The sequence below is a fragment of the Homo sapiens genome, chromosome 5, assembly GCF_000001405.40.
Source record: "Homo sapiens chromosome 5, GRCh38.p14 Primary Assembly".
Lineage (NCBI taxonomy): Eukaryota > Metazoa > Chordata > Mammalia > Primates > Hominidae > Homo > Homo sapiens.
Window position 1 is genome coordinate 133386961 of NC_000005.10, and position 15788 is coordinate 133402748.

Genomic DNA, 15788 nt, shown 5'->3' on the forward strand with positions numbered 1-15788 from the left:
TGATGTCTGCGGTAACTCTAACTTCTCCTCATTTCCCTTTAGGGGAGTGAGAGTTTTTAGGTACCTGCTGTCTGATCAGTTGCAAGTGCCAAGTCTGGTGGAGGAGGAAGGAATGCAGCCATAACATCAGCAAAGCTGCATGAAGTCTTTCCCTCTGCTGCTGCCCCTGCCCTGTACCTGGTTGTTCATGTCCCACCCACCCACTCTTCCAGGTTCAGGTCAAGCCCCACTCCCTGACAAATATCTCTCCTAATCATGGGAGTGGCCACTGACACACACTGAAAGGGGATGGGCAGGTGCCAGTACTGGTGCCGTCATTTACAAGTCCAGTAACTGGGAAAGTTATCTGGCTTCTCTTTGCCTCTCAGTAAACACCAACTAGGAAAAGGAGTGCATGAGATGACGTCCATACAGCCCCTGGCGGTGGGCTGGCAGCCTGGCACATTCTCCGTGAATGAGAATGTGTATTTCCCATGATCCTATCCACCCCACCCTGATGGCCATTCCTTCTTTTCTGCAAGGCTGTGTCCCATGGTGGCCCTTTATTGCCTTGGGGGTTGAACTTCTACCTCTATCTCTTAACAGGGCAGCTCTTCTACCTTCTTTGCCTTTTCTTGGCAACAGAATTTGGCTCTTATGCATTTCTCTCTAATTGGTTAATCACATTGTATTGACTGCAACATTAGAACCAATAGTTCAGGCCTTCCCAATTGTCCTGACCATGTCACTGGCATACTGACACACGCCCATGAACAAAGGCTTCATCACACAAGGAAGACACACTATGACCCGCTGCGGTTTTCTTCCACTTCAGTTGTAGCCCTGCATGCTTTCTGGGGAGCACACTCTAGCCACCGAGATGAAGGCACGGGGAGGCCCGACCGTAGGTCGAACACGTCAGTCAGTGGCTGATCCTTCCCATGGTCTCTGGATACACCAGTGAAGGCAGGAGGTGAAGTCTCCCAGATCACCTGGGAACAGCCATGGACACTTGTCTGGGGCTGCATGAGGTTTGTTCTGGGCTCTGATGGAATATTGCCCTCATGTATGCTTTTTAACATACCGAGTCAAGGATTATGCAGGATCTGTTGAAATTCCAATAAGTCAGTCAAGAAAATTAAGCGCACTTAACCTCATCATTTACCCTTTGCAATTTTTGGTAACTATATTTGAAAAAGTTATTTAGACACCTTCTCATTTCAAGAGCCTCTGTGCTCACCTAAGCCTTGAGTTCCTCTTTGTCAGATTCTCTGATTTCTCTGTAGAATGTGAAGGGTTCATCTTTCACTTTTTTTCCCAGCCAAGAGTACACGGATGGTGTATTATTTGAACCCTTGCCCAGCAGAAAATACTTTTTATTCTTTCCATACATGGATCACCATTTGATAAGTGTAGAATTCTTGCATCATGGTCTTACCACCCCAAAATTCTACCAATGTTCTTCATTGCCTTCTTGCTTCTTAATATCGCAGAAAAGTCCAAGAACAGAATGTTTTTTTTCCTTCCTACCAGACAGTGTCTGAGACTCACCTTTGACACAAATGTAACTGAAGGGGAGAAGCTGCCCCTGGGCAAGCCGGTCAGCTGAAACCACTCAAGAGCCCCCAGTGCAACACCAGGTAGGACTTTTTTTTTTTTTGTCTGCTTTGTTTTTCTCTCTCTGGATATTTCAGATCACTTTAATTTTTTTTTTCAAAACCTAAAATGTCAGCAATTATATTTTGACTTATTTGATAGATCTTTCAGTATAGGGCACTTATTTTTTTGGATCTCTCTTTGCTTATTGTGTCCATTTGAATTGCTCTGAGGTCTTTAAGATAACCAATCACTATTATTTTAAATCTTTTATCTCTGTCTTACATAACTATCATCCTCTCCCACAGTATTTTTTAAATCTTCTTCTCATTCTCGGTGTATTTGGGGAGCGGTTTTCAAGTTTGTTCCCTGTATTGGAACAACTATGATTTCTGTATGGTTAATCTTTCCTTTGACTGCTTGAAGTGGAGAAGGAACTTCTGCAATTGTATTTCAGGTTCTTTATATTCTTTCCTTACCTCCCCCAGCTTCCATTTTATTTTTGACTGTGGCTCAGCCAATTTACAATCCCATTTTTTATCTCATTTCAGAGTTCATGTTTTCTTGCATTGGGAGTAGAACACAGTTGCTGTCTAAAATGAGCTTCTGTTTCTTGTAATAATTTTTCCCCAAAGCATGCTCTTTTGCTGCATCTTAAGTGTGTGCTCTCCTCCTCCTCTGTTGCAGAAGCCAGCTTCCCTTTCATTCGTGTTCAGACAGGTCTGTTCAGGCTTCACCTCTGTTTACTCTCACTGCAGCCCAGTGAGATTGACCAGACTGGAATTACAGCTAAATCCATGGTCACTGCCACGACATATTGCATCTGGAGAGGGGTCTTAACTTCCCTGTAACCAGCATTCATGGCTAAACAGTTGAGAGACGCCCTTGAAAATCTGGAGTTCTGCAGGTGGGTGGGAAGGAGAACAAGCAAGCTCACTCTCTGCGGAATTAGGATGATGTGTCACTGACCCTTTCTGACACCCCTGCCCCTACCCTGGTGTCCCCTTCTGAAACCTCCTCCTTTGTCTAGGGTATTTCTTCTTTTGTAGCTTTATAAGAGACATCTTCCTCGCCCCTGCTTTCCTGTCCATCACCCACCTATCCAGAAAGGTTCTGCCCTTCATATCCTCTGATGTCTCTAATCTCGGGTTCCCCAAATCATTGGACAAGCTTGCACGGGGAAAAGACTAAAGTCTCAGCTATGAGGACTCATGCAGACCTGGGTCTGTACAAGCTCCACCTGACTGGATATAAGTAAAGATCTCTGAAAATCCCTATAAAAATACCTTGGGTTTATTATATTTTGATGGAAATATGGATCACTGGATGAGCATCTGAGAAACAGAGACAAAGATGGGGTGGAGGAAGGCAGAAAGAGACAGAGATGTACAGGTGTATTGGAGGAAAAGTCAGAGAGCTAGCCAGGCCGAATGAGTGAGGGAGGCAAAGGCTCAAAGAGGCATTTGCTGGACCACTGTAGACCAGGCCTTTGGGCATACCTTAGCCAACTGAAGGGGGCATGGAGTGCACTGAACACAAGCAGTGGAAGAGAAAGCACAAGTTCCCTAAGGAAGACAAGAAAAGAGACATGGCTGCTAAGTCCCTGGATGAGCCCTTTTTTCCAGCTACAAAGAGAAGTGCACAACTGAGATCACCCTGCTTATAATAAGTGGACGGAGTTCACTGCATCTGGCTATTTTAATTACCTGCAAGCAAAGTGATTTTGCTACTTTCCTTTAGAGGAGCTTTTTGAAAGTAGTTTTCACTCTGATTACTTTCATTAACAAGTGATCAAAATGCATCAAAGCAGAAATGAGCACAACAAGAAGAAAAGCAGAGGGAAGAACTCTCTAGGAGATGTCCAAACTCAGTAGTCACTGTTAAGCTCTGTCTTCCCTCATTAGCCTGGAGAATACATGTGTTCTGGATCTGGCCCTCATGAGGCACCCAGGTGCAGGACTGGGCACAAGCTCACCTACAATCAGGAAGCATGGGTGGTTCCCGGAGACCCAGGATGCTGTACAGGGCTGGGCCCCAGCTTTCTGTAGTTCTGTCCCTCAGTTCTCCTGGCTGAGGACTCAACTCCACAGACCTTACATTCAGTTGTTTGGTGTGGTCTTGTTCCTCCTTCATCCAATGAGCCTGCTCTGCTGGGAAGTGTTTACTCCTGAAGACACTCTCTGCTGATGGAGATGAGCAGTCATTTACTCTCCCCTGGGTCACTGCCTCCTGATCCCCCTCATTTATTTCAGTTAACTTGACACAGTGGCAAGTGCTCCTCCCTCTCTTTGGAGAAGATGGCCCAAACTGGGTCACTGCTTCCCTGTCCAGAAAAGCAGGCAGAGAGGCTGAGTGATCATGCGAGGCACAAGGGCTGGGGCGAGGGAGGGAACAGCCGAGCCCCCAGGCCTCTGCTCAATTCTTGTACCCACTGTCCTCCCAGCCACTGGCCCCTTCAATGCCTTATATCACTAGGCAGCAGAGGAACCTGAAAGGGATCCCATATCTAGAAAAGAGCATGAAAGTCCTGTCCTTGAGCTTGCTAGTGGGCATAAAACACTTTGAGGCAGGCGTACAGAGACCACGTATTTGAGTTGTGGCTGGTCTGACAGCTGCTGAGTCTATCACACAGATAATTAGACAAACTGCTTGAGCACAGAGATTCAATACATGGTGTCATTTAGCGGCTGCTACACGGGGGCCTTGATCTTAATTGAAGGCACGATAGGGGAGAACCTTAAAGGAGTCCCAAATCAACTTCTTCTTGCTCCAGTAATTAAACATCTGGCTCCTGGTGATCATCTGAAACCTCTCGAGTGTTGGGCATAGGGTCCACTCACATGGATCTGAGCACCTGAGCCACCGGCACCCCTCCTGTCCACACAGGGCCTTCCTCAAACAGCCTCCTGCGGAGAAGCCTGGGGAGGAGGCTCCATGTCACTCCCTCCCCTCATCAAGGCCACTTTTGGGTGGGCCTCACGGAGTAATGAGAAGGGCAATATAGCCAAGTGGCAAAGAACTTGGGCTTCCAATGGCCGACAGAGCCCTATGGGGAGATCAACCCCATCAGCCCTCCGACTTGCTCAGTTTCTCTCTGCTTACTTACCCTGGTCCAGCAACTCTGGCCCCCTTGTGAGCCCCCAAACACGCTAGGCAAGCTCCTACCTTAGGATCTTTGCAAACTTTGTATTGCCACTGCCTGGGATACTCTTCCCCCAGATATTCAAATGCCTCACTCCCTAACCCCCCGGCCTGCTGCAGACCTTTGCCCAAATGTCACTTCTCATATCAGAGGCTCTGGCTAACTGCCCTCCTGGCTTTATTCTGCTCCATGGCACTTGTCACCATCACATAGACTTCATCTCTTGTTTACTGTTTGTTTCTCCCACAAGACTGTACCTGCCATGGGGACTGGGCTCTGTTTTGTTCCCTGCTGTGTCCCCACATCTCCAAATAGTATCTGATGCATAGTACATGAATATTGCTGAACAACTGGACAGAAGGGTTCGAGCAGGACAGCACCATGGTCAAAGTTCCATCTTGGAAAGCTTACTCTAAATGCCATATGGAAAGTGGATTTGAAGAAGCATCTGACCCGGGGCTCAGAGAATAGCTAGGAGGCCATAGAGGTCATCCAGCCAGGAGATGATGGTGGGATGGACCATCCCAGGTGGAATGAGAGGTAGACTGAAACGTGAGGAGAGGTCAGGGATGAAGATATGGTTGGGTCTTTGCTCGTGGGACAGTCTGGGTCTTTGAGGCATGGCTGGAACTGTGAGAAGAGAGCCCCAGGGGAAATACCTGGAAGCAGCTGCAAGAGAAGGAGGGATCTACGGAGAGTCAGAGGGATGGGGGCTGGTCCCTAGAAGACAGTGGAACAGGGTTGCAGAGAGGATGACAGAGCTCACTGCAGGAAGGATGCATGCAGCAAGACCAGGCCTGGAAAGTGCCTTCTTGGCATTTAGAAGGGTAAGGTGATCTTAGCAAAGTCAGTGGCAGGGGTAACAGGACAGGAGCTAGGTGCAGACCCTAGAGGGCAGAATTCAGGGAAGTTGCAGAAGTGGAGACAGCCAGTGCAGAAAATGCTCTGCGGCCTGACAGGGAAGAGATGAAAGGCTACCTAGGAGGATGCTGGGACAACAGCTTGCTCCTCTGGGCTTTAGGATGAGAGAGACTAGGCCGCCAGCAACCAACGGGACTGAGGAGTGCACAGCAAAGGAGGGGTTGGAGAAAGAAGGACAGGATGCCAGAAAACAGCAGGAAACAATGTGGGGGACTCGGAGGCTGTAGCTTGTTTCCATAAGTGAAATCAATGCACCACGAGACTTACTCAGCTCAGTAACTTCTTAGCAATTTTTAATTACTGGAATGTAATTAATTCATTCAAAGTACAGCAGTTCTGTGGAGCACACCACACATGCCGAACTGATAATATTCTTGCACATTTGCGGGGTGCTCACACCAAGACAGTTCCTTGCATAAAACCTGGAGGAAATATCCAAAGAACACACATATTTGTTTTAGGTCACTTTTCTTGATCCTGGAAGCAGATACTGTAAATGGGACAACTGAGCTCCCAGGGATGCTGGACTACGGGGCTATGAGTGAACTGTCAGTTCAGTGAAGTCCTAGTTGTTTTCACAGATGCTGACAGAATCCGCGGAGGAGTGAGGAGAGGGTATCCAACATGAGAGACAGTCCGTAAAGATTCCCGTTTGTCCTTGAGGTCTTGGAGGCATCTCTGGCTAAAGCAGCTCCCAAAGGATAACCCAGAGGGTGGAGATGTGTGGCGTTTCTTTTGGCTATAAATTCCTTGAGGTCAGGCCCGGTGTTCTGATCATACTGGTATCCTCAGGTCCTGGCACAGCCTTAGCACCAAGTGGGCATTCAACAGATGTCTGTGAAGGTGAGTGGCTTGGCAGAAAACAGCCAAACCCTCTTCTGTGGAGCTTAAAGTGAAGGCCAGGAAGAGGGCTGGGGACAGAGAGATCCCTTTGCAAAGACTGAAAGAACAACAGCGGCTACTGGACAGAAATGTGGGTAGGCCCAAAAGTGGAAGGGCAACTGGAGGGACAGGAAAGGGAGTCTGGAGAGAAAGTGGAGGCCAGCTTCCAAGGCCAGACCAGGCTGAAGGTAGGCTTGTCCCCAGAGGCTCTGCCTGCTTTTGACCCCAGGTTCCCCTGGTAACCTTCTGGGTATCCCTCAGTTTCCTACTCTTTCCTTAGAAAGGAGACAAGGGTCTAGTTTCCTGATGTCCAGAAGCTCTGTGAGTTTGGGATGATTGAGCCAGCTTTCCCTGGAGAAGGTGCAGCTGGCTTCTTAATGACCTGCGGAGCAGGGAAGCCCCGCCCAGCAGTGGCACACGAGGCCCTTTCCACTGCCCATGGCTCCTGAGCCTTCCTTCTGCACCAGGAGGTCTCCTGGGGAAGAAGCATAAAGCAATTGCATCTGTTAGGGACATGCCTTGCTGAGCCCTAACTAAAAACAGCCACAAAGCTATGGGTGCCTTTGAAGGGCCTGCCACAGCAGCAAAGGCTGGGCCCTGGCTTGGCTCTGCCTGTGTGACTTGGGACAGGTACTAGCCCTCTCTGGGCTTCACGGTCCCTCTTTGGGAAATGAGAATGTTGCAGTAGCTTATCTGACACTGAGAGGTGACAGCATGCTGGTAGCCCTTGCTCACTCTTGGCGCCTCCTCAGCCTTGGCGCCCACTCTGGCCATGCTTGAGGAGCCCTTCAGCCCGCCGCTGCACTGTGGGAACCCCTCTCTGGGCTGGCCGAGGCTGGAGCCAGCTCCCTCTGCTTGCGGGGAGGTGTGGAGGGAGAGGCACCGGCGGGAACTGGGGCTGCGTGTGACGCTCGTGGGCCAGCCTGAGTTCCAGGTGGGCATGGGCTTGGTGGGCCCTGCACTCACAGCGGCCAGCTGGCACCACTGGCCCCGGACAGCGAGGGGCTTAGCACCCGGGCCAGCAGCTGCGGAGGGTGCGCCAGGTCCCCCAGCAGTGCCGGCCCACCGGGCTGTTCTCGAATTCTCGCCGGGCCTCAGCTGCCTCCCCGCAGGGCAGGGCTTAGGACCTGCAGCCCGCCATGCCTGAGCCTCCCCACCACTGTGGGCTCCTGCGTGGCCCGAGCCTCCCCAACGAGCGCCGCCACCTGCTCCGTGGCACCAGGTCCCATTGACCGCCCAAGGGCTGAGGAGTGCGGGTGCACTGCGCGGGACTGGCAGGCAGCTCCACCTGCAGCCCGGTGAGGGATCCACTAGGTGAAGCCAGCTGGGCTCCTGAGTCTAGTAGGGACTTGGAGAACTTTTATGTCTAGCTAAGGGATTGTAGATACACCAATCAGCACTCTGTATCTAGCTCAAGGTTTGTAAATACACCAATCAGCACCCTGTGTCTAGCTCAAAGTTTGTAAATGCACCAATCAGTGCTCTGTGTCTAGCTAATCTAGTGGGGACTTGGAGAACTTTTCTGTCTAGCTCAGGGATTGTAAACACACCAATCAGCACCCTGTCAAAATGGACCAATCAGCGCTCTGTAAAACAGACCAATCAGCTCTCTGTAAAATGGACCAATCAGCAGGACGTGGGTGGGGCCAGATAAAGGAATAAAAGCAGGCTGCCCCAGCCAGCAGTGGCAACCTGGGTCCCCTTCCACCCCGTGGAAGCTTTGTTCTTTCGCTCTTTGCAATAAATATTGCTGCTGCTCACTCTTTGGGTCCGCACTGCCTTAGGTCTGCAGCTTCACTTCTGAGGCCTGCGAGACAACGAACCCAGCGGGAGGAATGAACAACTCCAGACGCGCCGCCTTAAGAGCTGTAACACTCACCGCGAAGGTCCGCAGCTTCACTCCTGAAGCCAGCGAGACCACGAACCCACCAGAAGGAAGAAACTCTGAACACGTCCAAACATCAGAAGGAACAAACTCCGGACACACCATCTTTAAGAACTTGTAACACTCACCGCGCGGGTCCGCGGCTTCATTCTCGAAGTCAGAGAGACCAAGAACCCACCAATTCTGGACACAACACTGGTCAGCTTGAGTTCAGACTTCCCTGCTTGGCACACAAGGCCTTTCCCCAGCTTGCTGTGATCCACTTGTCTGCCTTTATCCCCAACTATGCTCTCCCCTACACCCAGGATCCCATAATCACTTGCTCTTCCCGGAGACTGGAGGTACTTCATGCCTGTACTCCTAGAAAGCCTTCCCCACACTCTCAACCTAGCAAACCTTCCCTTGCTCTTCAAAATCCACCTTGAAGGTCCCCTCTCCTCCAGCACCTTCTCTAAACGTTCTCATCTTCAGGCAGATGAATTCTTACCCCAGGCTCCACTGGCATTTCCTGAGAGCCCGGAGGTACATTCTAGGAGCTTTGTCCAGACTGGGGATCAGAGATACCTGATTCTCCCCTTGCTTTTCTACTAACCTGCTAGATGAACTTGGGTGGCTCCTTACATCTCTTAGCAAGACAGAGAAGGTGATCATTAACTTTGATCAACTGGAGGTCAAATTCTAGTCATTCATTAAATAAATATGGAGGGCCAATGTTCTTCTCTCCCCTCATTCACAGGAGGACCCACCACCCCTGACCTCTTAGCTCATTACAGAGTTGTCACATAAATGGGCAAGGGTCTTACAGCTTGTTGCATCTGCTCCTTGAATAAGCCGTGATGTTACAACGGCACCAGCATCATCCCTAGTGCTGTTGACACTGCGTAGAGAAGAATGCTCACTGCATGCCAGGTGCTGCTCCTGTCATACTCACAACACTCTATGAGGTAAGTGCTGGTATTATCCCCATTTTACAGATGAAGTAAATGAGGCACAGAAAGCTCACGTGCCAAAGCAGTGCCCTTGAGCACGTGCCACATTGTCCCATCAGCCTGGGCCTCCCTGATGCTTCCACAGGCCCCAGCACCTCTTGCTATAGGGACTGCTCCAGCAGAGTTACACTAAATCCCCTATCAATGCCTGACAGCATCACAGCCCTGCAGCTGGATCTCACACATCCCAGGAAGTGAGTCTCCCGCTGAGAGCTGGACTGGGCTGACAAAGCTGGGGATGTAAGAAGCTTTCCCTGGCAGGACAGAGAATACTTGTGGAAGTATAGAAATGCCCCTGGAGGTGTGGGGCCCAATTTAAATTCCTAAAGTAACAAGACTCAGAGTAACAACAACAGCAACAAAATAACAAGAAGAAGAAGAAAAAAATGGCTCTTTGGCAGGAAGCTCTATTTGCTCTGCTAACTTGCAACAAAATACTGAGTTTTTATGTCTGCTTAGTAACAAGTAAGAAAAAAAGATTTCTTAGTGAGCCTGTAGTATGTTTAATTTGTTTCCAAAAATGGAAATGATTTCCTGTCTTTCATTAGGTTGGGAACTCCCCTCTGAAGCACCCAAATCCACCTGCAACCGCCCGCAGGCTGAGGAAGCTGAAGGGGCCCCTTAAAACAGAACCTCTAACAGTCCCCTTTCTTCCATAATTTCATGGTTTGTTTGGAAAACTGCCCAACTATGACATTGTATCATCTGGTATAATACAACGCTGGCTTGGTGAGTGATTGCTGAAAGGGAAGCTCATCTTCGTGAACAGCGTAGGAGATAAAGCGTGAATTCAAAACCAAGAAAAATGAGTTTAAAAGTGCCAACTAATACACAAATAGGAATGCGATGTCACAAGATAACTTTGAAAACACAAACTCTATAAGAAGTTAAACAGTGAAATCCACCCAATATCTTGGCATTCTCTTGGTAGGATTTGGTGCTGAGGAAAAATGTGACTCTAATTTTGCTACAAGAAGAGATACATCTTTCCCACACCTCCTTTTGTCCCAGACTTTCAGTGAGACCCTGCTTGTGACTCAGGAGATCTGGGATCAAAGCTGTAAACTCTAGCTGCAGCAATCCTTTTGAGTCTGGTTGATTTCCCGTACATGCTAATGATCCCTAAATGATATATTTCATTTTATATTCACAAGGAATCCCATTGCCATAGCAACTGGAATGTGATACCAGAAGTTTTCTTGTAAATGGGTTTAGAATGCTGCCTCTTCTCCCTTGCAGGGTGGTGAAGGCTATGTGTCCCCCCACCAGTCCTCAGGAGAACCCCCTCCCTGACAGGAAATCAGGGCCTCTGGCCACAGACGGGAGCTCTGAACTGTAGCAGCTTAGCCCAGCACAACCCATCACTTCTCTCCTCTTGCTCCACACACTCCAGCTGCACAAGGACTTGTCCTAATATTGATTTCTGGGGACAGATAAAGTCCCAGAGAATGAAGTCACAACTTCTTCTTGTAAAGTCTGATAGAAATAGAGAATGAAAGATGGATGATTTTAGAATTTTTGCTTGCATGAAAAACAAGGTATTTTTTTGTTTCCTGTATTAATAACTCCCTGGAAAATTGGGACAAATGACAAACTGTCATTCGTGGACCTCAAGCTGTTATTAAATATTCTGCTGCCATTGTGGGGTGGGGACTGTAGGAACTTGTTCTTTATATCCTCCTTTGTTCCAGGACCCTCTGTCCCCACAGAGGTTCCCGACAGAGCCTCTGTCATCTATTTCGTTCTACTCCCCCCTGGAGCCATGGTTCTGGTGAAGGTGACGTGCTCACCCCAAGGCATTCACCTCAGGGCTGGCCTGCCTTCCATCCGTCAGGCTCCTGTGAATCAGTGCCCAGGTCTTTCCTGTTTGCTGGGCACTCCCTATGGGAATGATCGAGGAGAGGCAGCCCAGCTCTTCTGCCCTCCCACCAGGACTACAGCTGACCCTGAGGGTGAGGCACTGAAGGCTTTCCACTGGAGTCCAGACCCAAGAGGCCATCTGCAGAAAGAGAAGCCCTGGCTCTAGGTGGACATTGCTGGGAGAGGCCCCAGCAATGAGTGTCTGCCTGACACTCATGTCTTCCTTACCCACTCTCCAGCTACCATTAAATAATCTGGGCCCAGAAATCTCTCCCCAAACCTCCCAGACAGAACCCTTGCTCCTGCCTCTGCGTTCTTCACAGTTTGTGCATCTCTCTACTCTCGGCCTGTGGCCACGCTGGATTAGAATAAATAATGATGGCAGGTCTCATGAACACCAAATCCATGCCATGCACCAGGCAGCGTGCTAAGTGGTGCTTGTGCAGCCCCTCCTTCACTTCTCTCCATGGCTGCAGCAGGTGGGTACTGCCATTAGTCCCATTTTACAGTCGAGGAAAAGGCCCAGAGAAGCAGAGTGATGCAACCAACACCACACAGCTGGGAAGTACCAGAACTGAGATGCCACCCTTGGTCTTTCTGGGAGCTCACAGGCACCACTCTCCACCAAAAAGGGGTCCTTAAGAGAGGAGCACTGCTATACCAAGTGGGCGGCAACTCACAATGTGTGAAAACCTCAATGAGTCAGAAGGATTCGGTGGATAAATTCAATCAGCATGAAGCAGAACTGAGCCCTGATCTGCTCAAGGCTGCCTGCCCCCCGCTCCACGCCAGCTTGTCCCCATCACTCCTCACCTCGGTGGGTTTTGTGGTGGCTGGTTTTTCCCTCCCATTAAATGAGAAATGTTGTTTGAATAACCAATGGTGAGGGAGGGTGTGCACACTCTGATGCAGAAATAGAAACCTTTAGGAAGATGCAATTTGAAGGATATTGGAAACCAGAGAATGGAACATCAGTCTATAAAATTCAACACGGCCAATAAAGCTGGAGCAACTGGTCAAGTGTTTTAGTGTGCACGGTTGCAGAGGAACTGGCGGCACGTGGCTGGGCAGTGCTTCCAGAATGGGGACGTTTTTCCTAGGCTCATTTTGGCCTCATTTCCATAATGTGTCTCATGATCTCTGAAGCACCTTGGCATTAGCATCATAAGCACAGCTGTGAAAGTGTCCAAGACTATTGTCATCACCCGGTAAAGGCACATTTCCCAAGCCCTGCCCTGCCTAGCACTCTATGCTGCCACGACTGCTGAGTGGAGTGGCCCATTAGGTGGGTGCAGGTGACACAGATAGATGTAACAGAGGCCAACACACCTTTGCTCCACCACCTCAGCCATGAATCCGCCTCCGCTCAGGTGTGTCAGCATCATACCATCCTCAGTGGGGTTCTGTGAGGGTGAGGCAGGAGCTCTGCCCCTTCCCACTTGGTGCCCAGGCCTTTACAGCCTGGACTGCTCTCACGCCTTTGTCTTCTAGTGTTGCAGGCACTTGGCAGGTGTCTAGTCCAAGCCTCCTCCTCTCCTCCCTGTGCAACCTAAAGCACATTCCTGACCTCACATAACTCCAAGTGGGCTCTCGTAGCTCAGGCTATGTGGGCCTGTTCCCATCTGCCTGCAAGCTGCTTCTGTCTTCTACACACTTCCTAATTCATGTATACCCATTTTGTACACAAATATTTGTATACAATAAATACTTCCACAGGCCATGGCATGTACTATTTACCAGGGCCACATCAATCAACCCAGGATGTGCATTCTGACCCTTGTATCTTCAAGCATCTGGGAGCCATTGAGCATTTTCTTGGTGCAGGGCACAGTGCTAGGTGCTAATACATAAGCGCATAAGACAGCCATAGCCGCTGCCCTAATGGTTCTTACCGTCTAGTGGGAGCTGGTACTTCCCTTCTTTTCTGACTCAATCTCAGCCTAAAGCATGAATCCTTGGCCCCAGCTCCACAGACATGTTCTGATGTCCATGCAGGGGCTTCCTTGTCTTGCTCAGAGGTGTTCTGGACAGGCAAGACATGGGATGCCTTCCCATCAACAACTGCCCCAGGCCAGAGTTTGTGTCCTTGTCACGCTGGAAGACATTGCGCTGGTGTCTGCCTGACCACATTCTATGCACAGCACAGCCTCCTGATTCATGGGACTCTGTGCAGAAGGGTAAACATGGTCCTTGTCACAACCTTGCAAAGGCCCGTCCTATGTGGAGACCTGGGTAGTGCCCTGTTGCCTGGTCCCTAGTGAACCTGTACCAGCCAGGTTTTAATTTGACCTGCCTGGATTCTACTCCCCAAGGAGCTTCCTCTAAGGGCAGGGGTCTCTGGAGGTGGGACACAGAGTATGCATCACCAAAATGCCACTGCTGCTATTTTGTTACACACCAGTCTTTGTCTTTATTTCCTAAACATATGTAACTTGTAGACTCAGCACCCAGGTCACTTGTCAAAAAGGCATTGGAAGACCCATCACAAAACCCAAAACCACAGGGCAAGGGCCCTGTTCCTACCTTTGAGGAAACAGTCCTTGCTGTGGATGACGGTGATCCTCTTTCCCAGGAGGCAAGCAGCACGGTGGAGCTTACAGTGGTTTTCATAAAACCTCCCATCAGAGCCGCACACAGGCACGTAGCTGGGCCTGCATGCCTCCAGGCACTGGCATTCGGGCTCCCCTGTCTTCCTGCTGAGCACGCACCGGCTCCCTCGGCTGCAGAACTTCTTCCCGCAGGAGGCCAGCAGCTCGTTGTGGCTGGAAAGCCCTGCCAGACACACAAACACAGAGGGTCAGCTGTAAACACTCAGAGGGTCTGGGGTCGAGGGCTTCCTTTGTAGCTCACAAGCACAGACTCCATTTGCCTGTGCAGCCAAGCTACTCAAGGTGGGGCCTGGGGGCTTGGGGTCTCCTAGGGAGTCCCTGTCCCTCCATGAGGTGGTCATTGGTGCCAAGAAGGGTGTCCTGCCTTGCAGAGCTCAGGTTTCATGGCTGACTCACTCTGAACATCTGAAACACAACACCTTTCCAACCTAGGACCCAGCTGGGGGCTTTTGATCAACTCTTGGTTCTTTCTTAGGCTTACTTTTCCTGCTTCCAGTTGAAAAATGAAAACACCCAGCTATTCCGTGCTCACAAAGAAGCACCTTGCACAGAAGGACAAAGCCTGCCACTACTGCTCCCAGGCTCACAGTCAGCCTCCTGGACTAGAGGCCTATTAAAATCAATGACTTTTTAAAAAAGTGGTCCCCTCCACCCCCTGCCTGCAATACGTTTTCCTTCCTTCCTTCTTTTCCTTTACTATGTCATGACTTTGGACCAGGCTGTGTCTTAGGCACCTTAGGGGTCTCAAAGATGAACAAGTCATACCTTTCCCTCTTTCTGACTTTGTCATTCTGTAAGGTGGTGACATGTATGCAGATCAGGCAAAGAGCATGGGAGCCAGGGAGCTAAGTTTGGAAGAAGTAACTGGGAGTGGCGGAGATCATGGAGCGGGTGATGTGCCAGTGGGCCCTGCAAAGGAGAGAAAGGTTTTCCCAGAAACACAGCAGGCTTGAGCCAAGACTCCCCCAGCCGCCCTGTGGGTGGCATTTGCAGGTCTCAGGTAGAAGACTAGATGTGAGTAGGAGTTTTGTACAGTGGTGGGGTTGGGGGTCAAGGTGTGATTTCTGGGAGACTTGGAGAGCCAAGCAGAGAAATTTAGGTACACTACTGTAGGCACTGGGGAGTCACTGCAGGGAGGAAACGTGGCATAAGAAGAAAGTCATGCTCCAAGTGTTCAGGATGGGGGTGGGGGTAGCCGAGGTAGGGAGACCAGAGGCTGGCCATTTCCTTGGGGGAGAATGTGGTTCTCCATGACACACGTCATCAGGGGAGACACCAGCAGCCTTTCCCCACAGCCCAGTCCTTTCTAGCACAATGTTGCAGTTATGGGCAAGAAGGCTGAGCCCCTGGAAACGGGCGCTGCCACATTGCTTGAGTGTCCCCTGCACCCTACAACACCCACAGTGATCTCAGGCAGCAGCACCCAGAGCTCACACACCAAAGAGGTCAGGGCAGCTGGAAAGGGCACGTTTAAGTGAAAGGCGAAACAGGCGTCCATCACCAACATCACACTGCATTCTGGGAGTCTGGAAATGAGATAATCAGCACATGTCACTAAAGGTACAGATGGAAAGTTGAGAATTACACAGGGACACCAAAAGACAACTGAAATGTGAATACAGATTTTTACAGCCTCAGAAGACTTTGCTTTAAGTGTTAATTAAATCTCCATCAAAATACTCAGCAAGACAGAATGGCCCTAGTAATCATGACCAAACTTTTAGCCCCGGGTCCTACCCATGGGATTAAAATGTCTAAGCAAAAAAGAAGAAAAAAAAAAGAAAAAAATATATTTTTCTTGTTTTTGGTTAAGTCTGCTTTTCATCATTACAGATTTGAAAGGAAAAAAAATCAGTTATCGGCAGATTAACTGCTTGATTCAATAATTCATTTAAATTCCTCCAGCCTTGGCAAACTAAGAAGTA

At 49.6% G+C, this 15788-nt stretch overlaps 1 protein-coding gene and 1 long non-coding RNA gene across 4 annotated transcripts in view, besides 2 other annotated features; one reads left to right on the plus strand and one right to left on the minus strand.

Annotated features, from left to right (window-relative positions):
* Nucleotides 1-15788, minus strand: part of FSTL4 (follistatin like 4) — a 645613-nt gene that overhangs the window by 190506 nt on the left and 439319 nt on the right. For all 3 annotated transcript variants that reach the window (XM_011543283.2, XM_011543284.3, NM_015082.2), the window contains exon 4: nucleotides 13778-14026. In XM_011543283.2, the coding sequence (XP_011541585.1) occupies nucleotides 13778-14026 (249 nt within the window). The remainder of the gene's footprint in view (nucleotides 1-13777; nucleotides 14027-15788) is intronic.
* CTB-3M24.3 (uncharacterized) lies at nucleotides 922-9116 on the plus strand. The gene is made up of 3 exons (XR_948794.4): nucleotides 922-1010; nucleotides 1513-1619; nucleotides 8305-9116. It is a non-coding gene; the product is annotated as an uncharacterized CTB-3M24.3 (long non-coding RNA).
* Nucleotides 13476-14010: an enhancer, noted in NCBI's record as "H3K4me1 hESC enhancer chr5:132736128-132736662 (GRCh37/hg19 assembly coordinates)". NCBI's record gives its function as "activates a minimal SCP1, AML or CMV promoter by ChIP-STARR-seq in naive H9 embryonic stem cells {active_cell/tissue: H9 hESC(naive)}" and the evidence as "EXISTENCE:reporter gene assay evidence [ECO:0000049][PMID:30033119]".
* Nucleotides 14700-15614: an enhancer, noted in NCBI's record as "H3K4me1 hESC enhancer chr5:132737352-132738266 (GRCh37/hg19 assembly coordinates)". NCBI's record gives its function as "activates a minimal SCP1, AML or CMV promoter by ChIP-STARR-seq in naive H9 embryonic stem cells {active_cell/tissue: H9 hESC(naive)}" and the evidence as "EXISTENCE:reporter gene assay evidence [ECO:0000049][PMID:30033119]".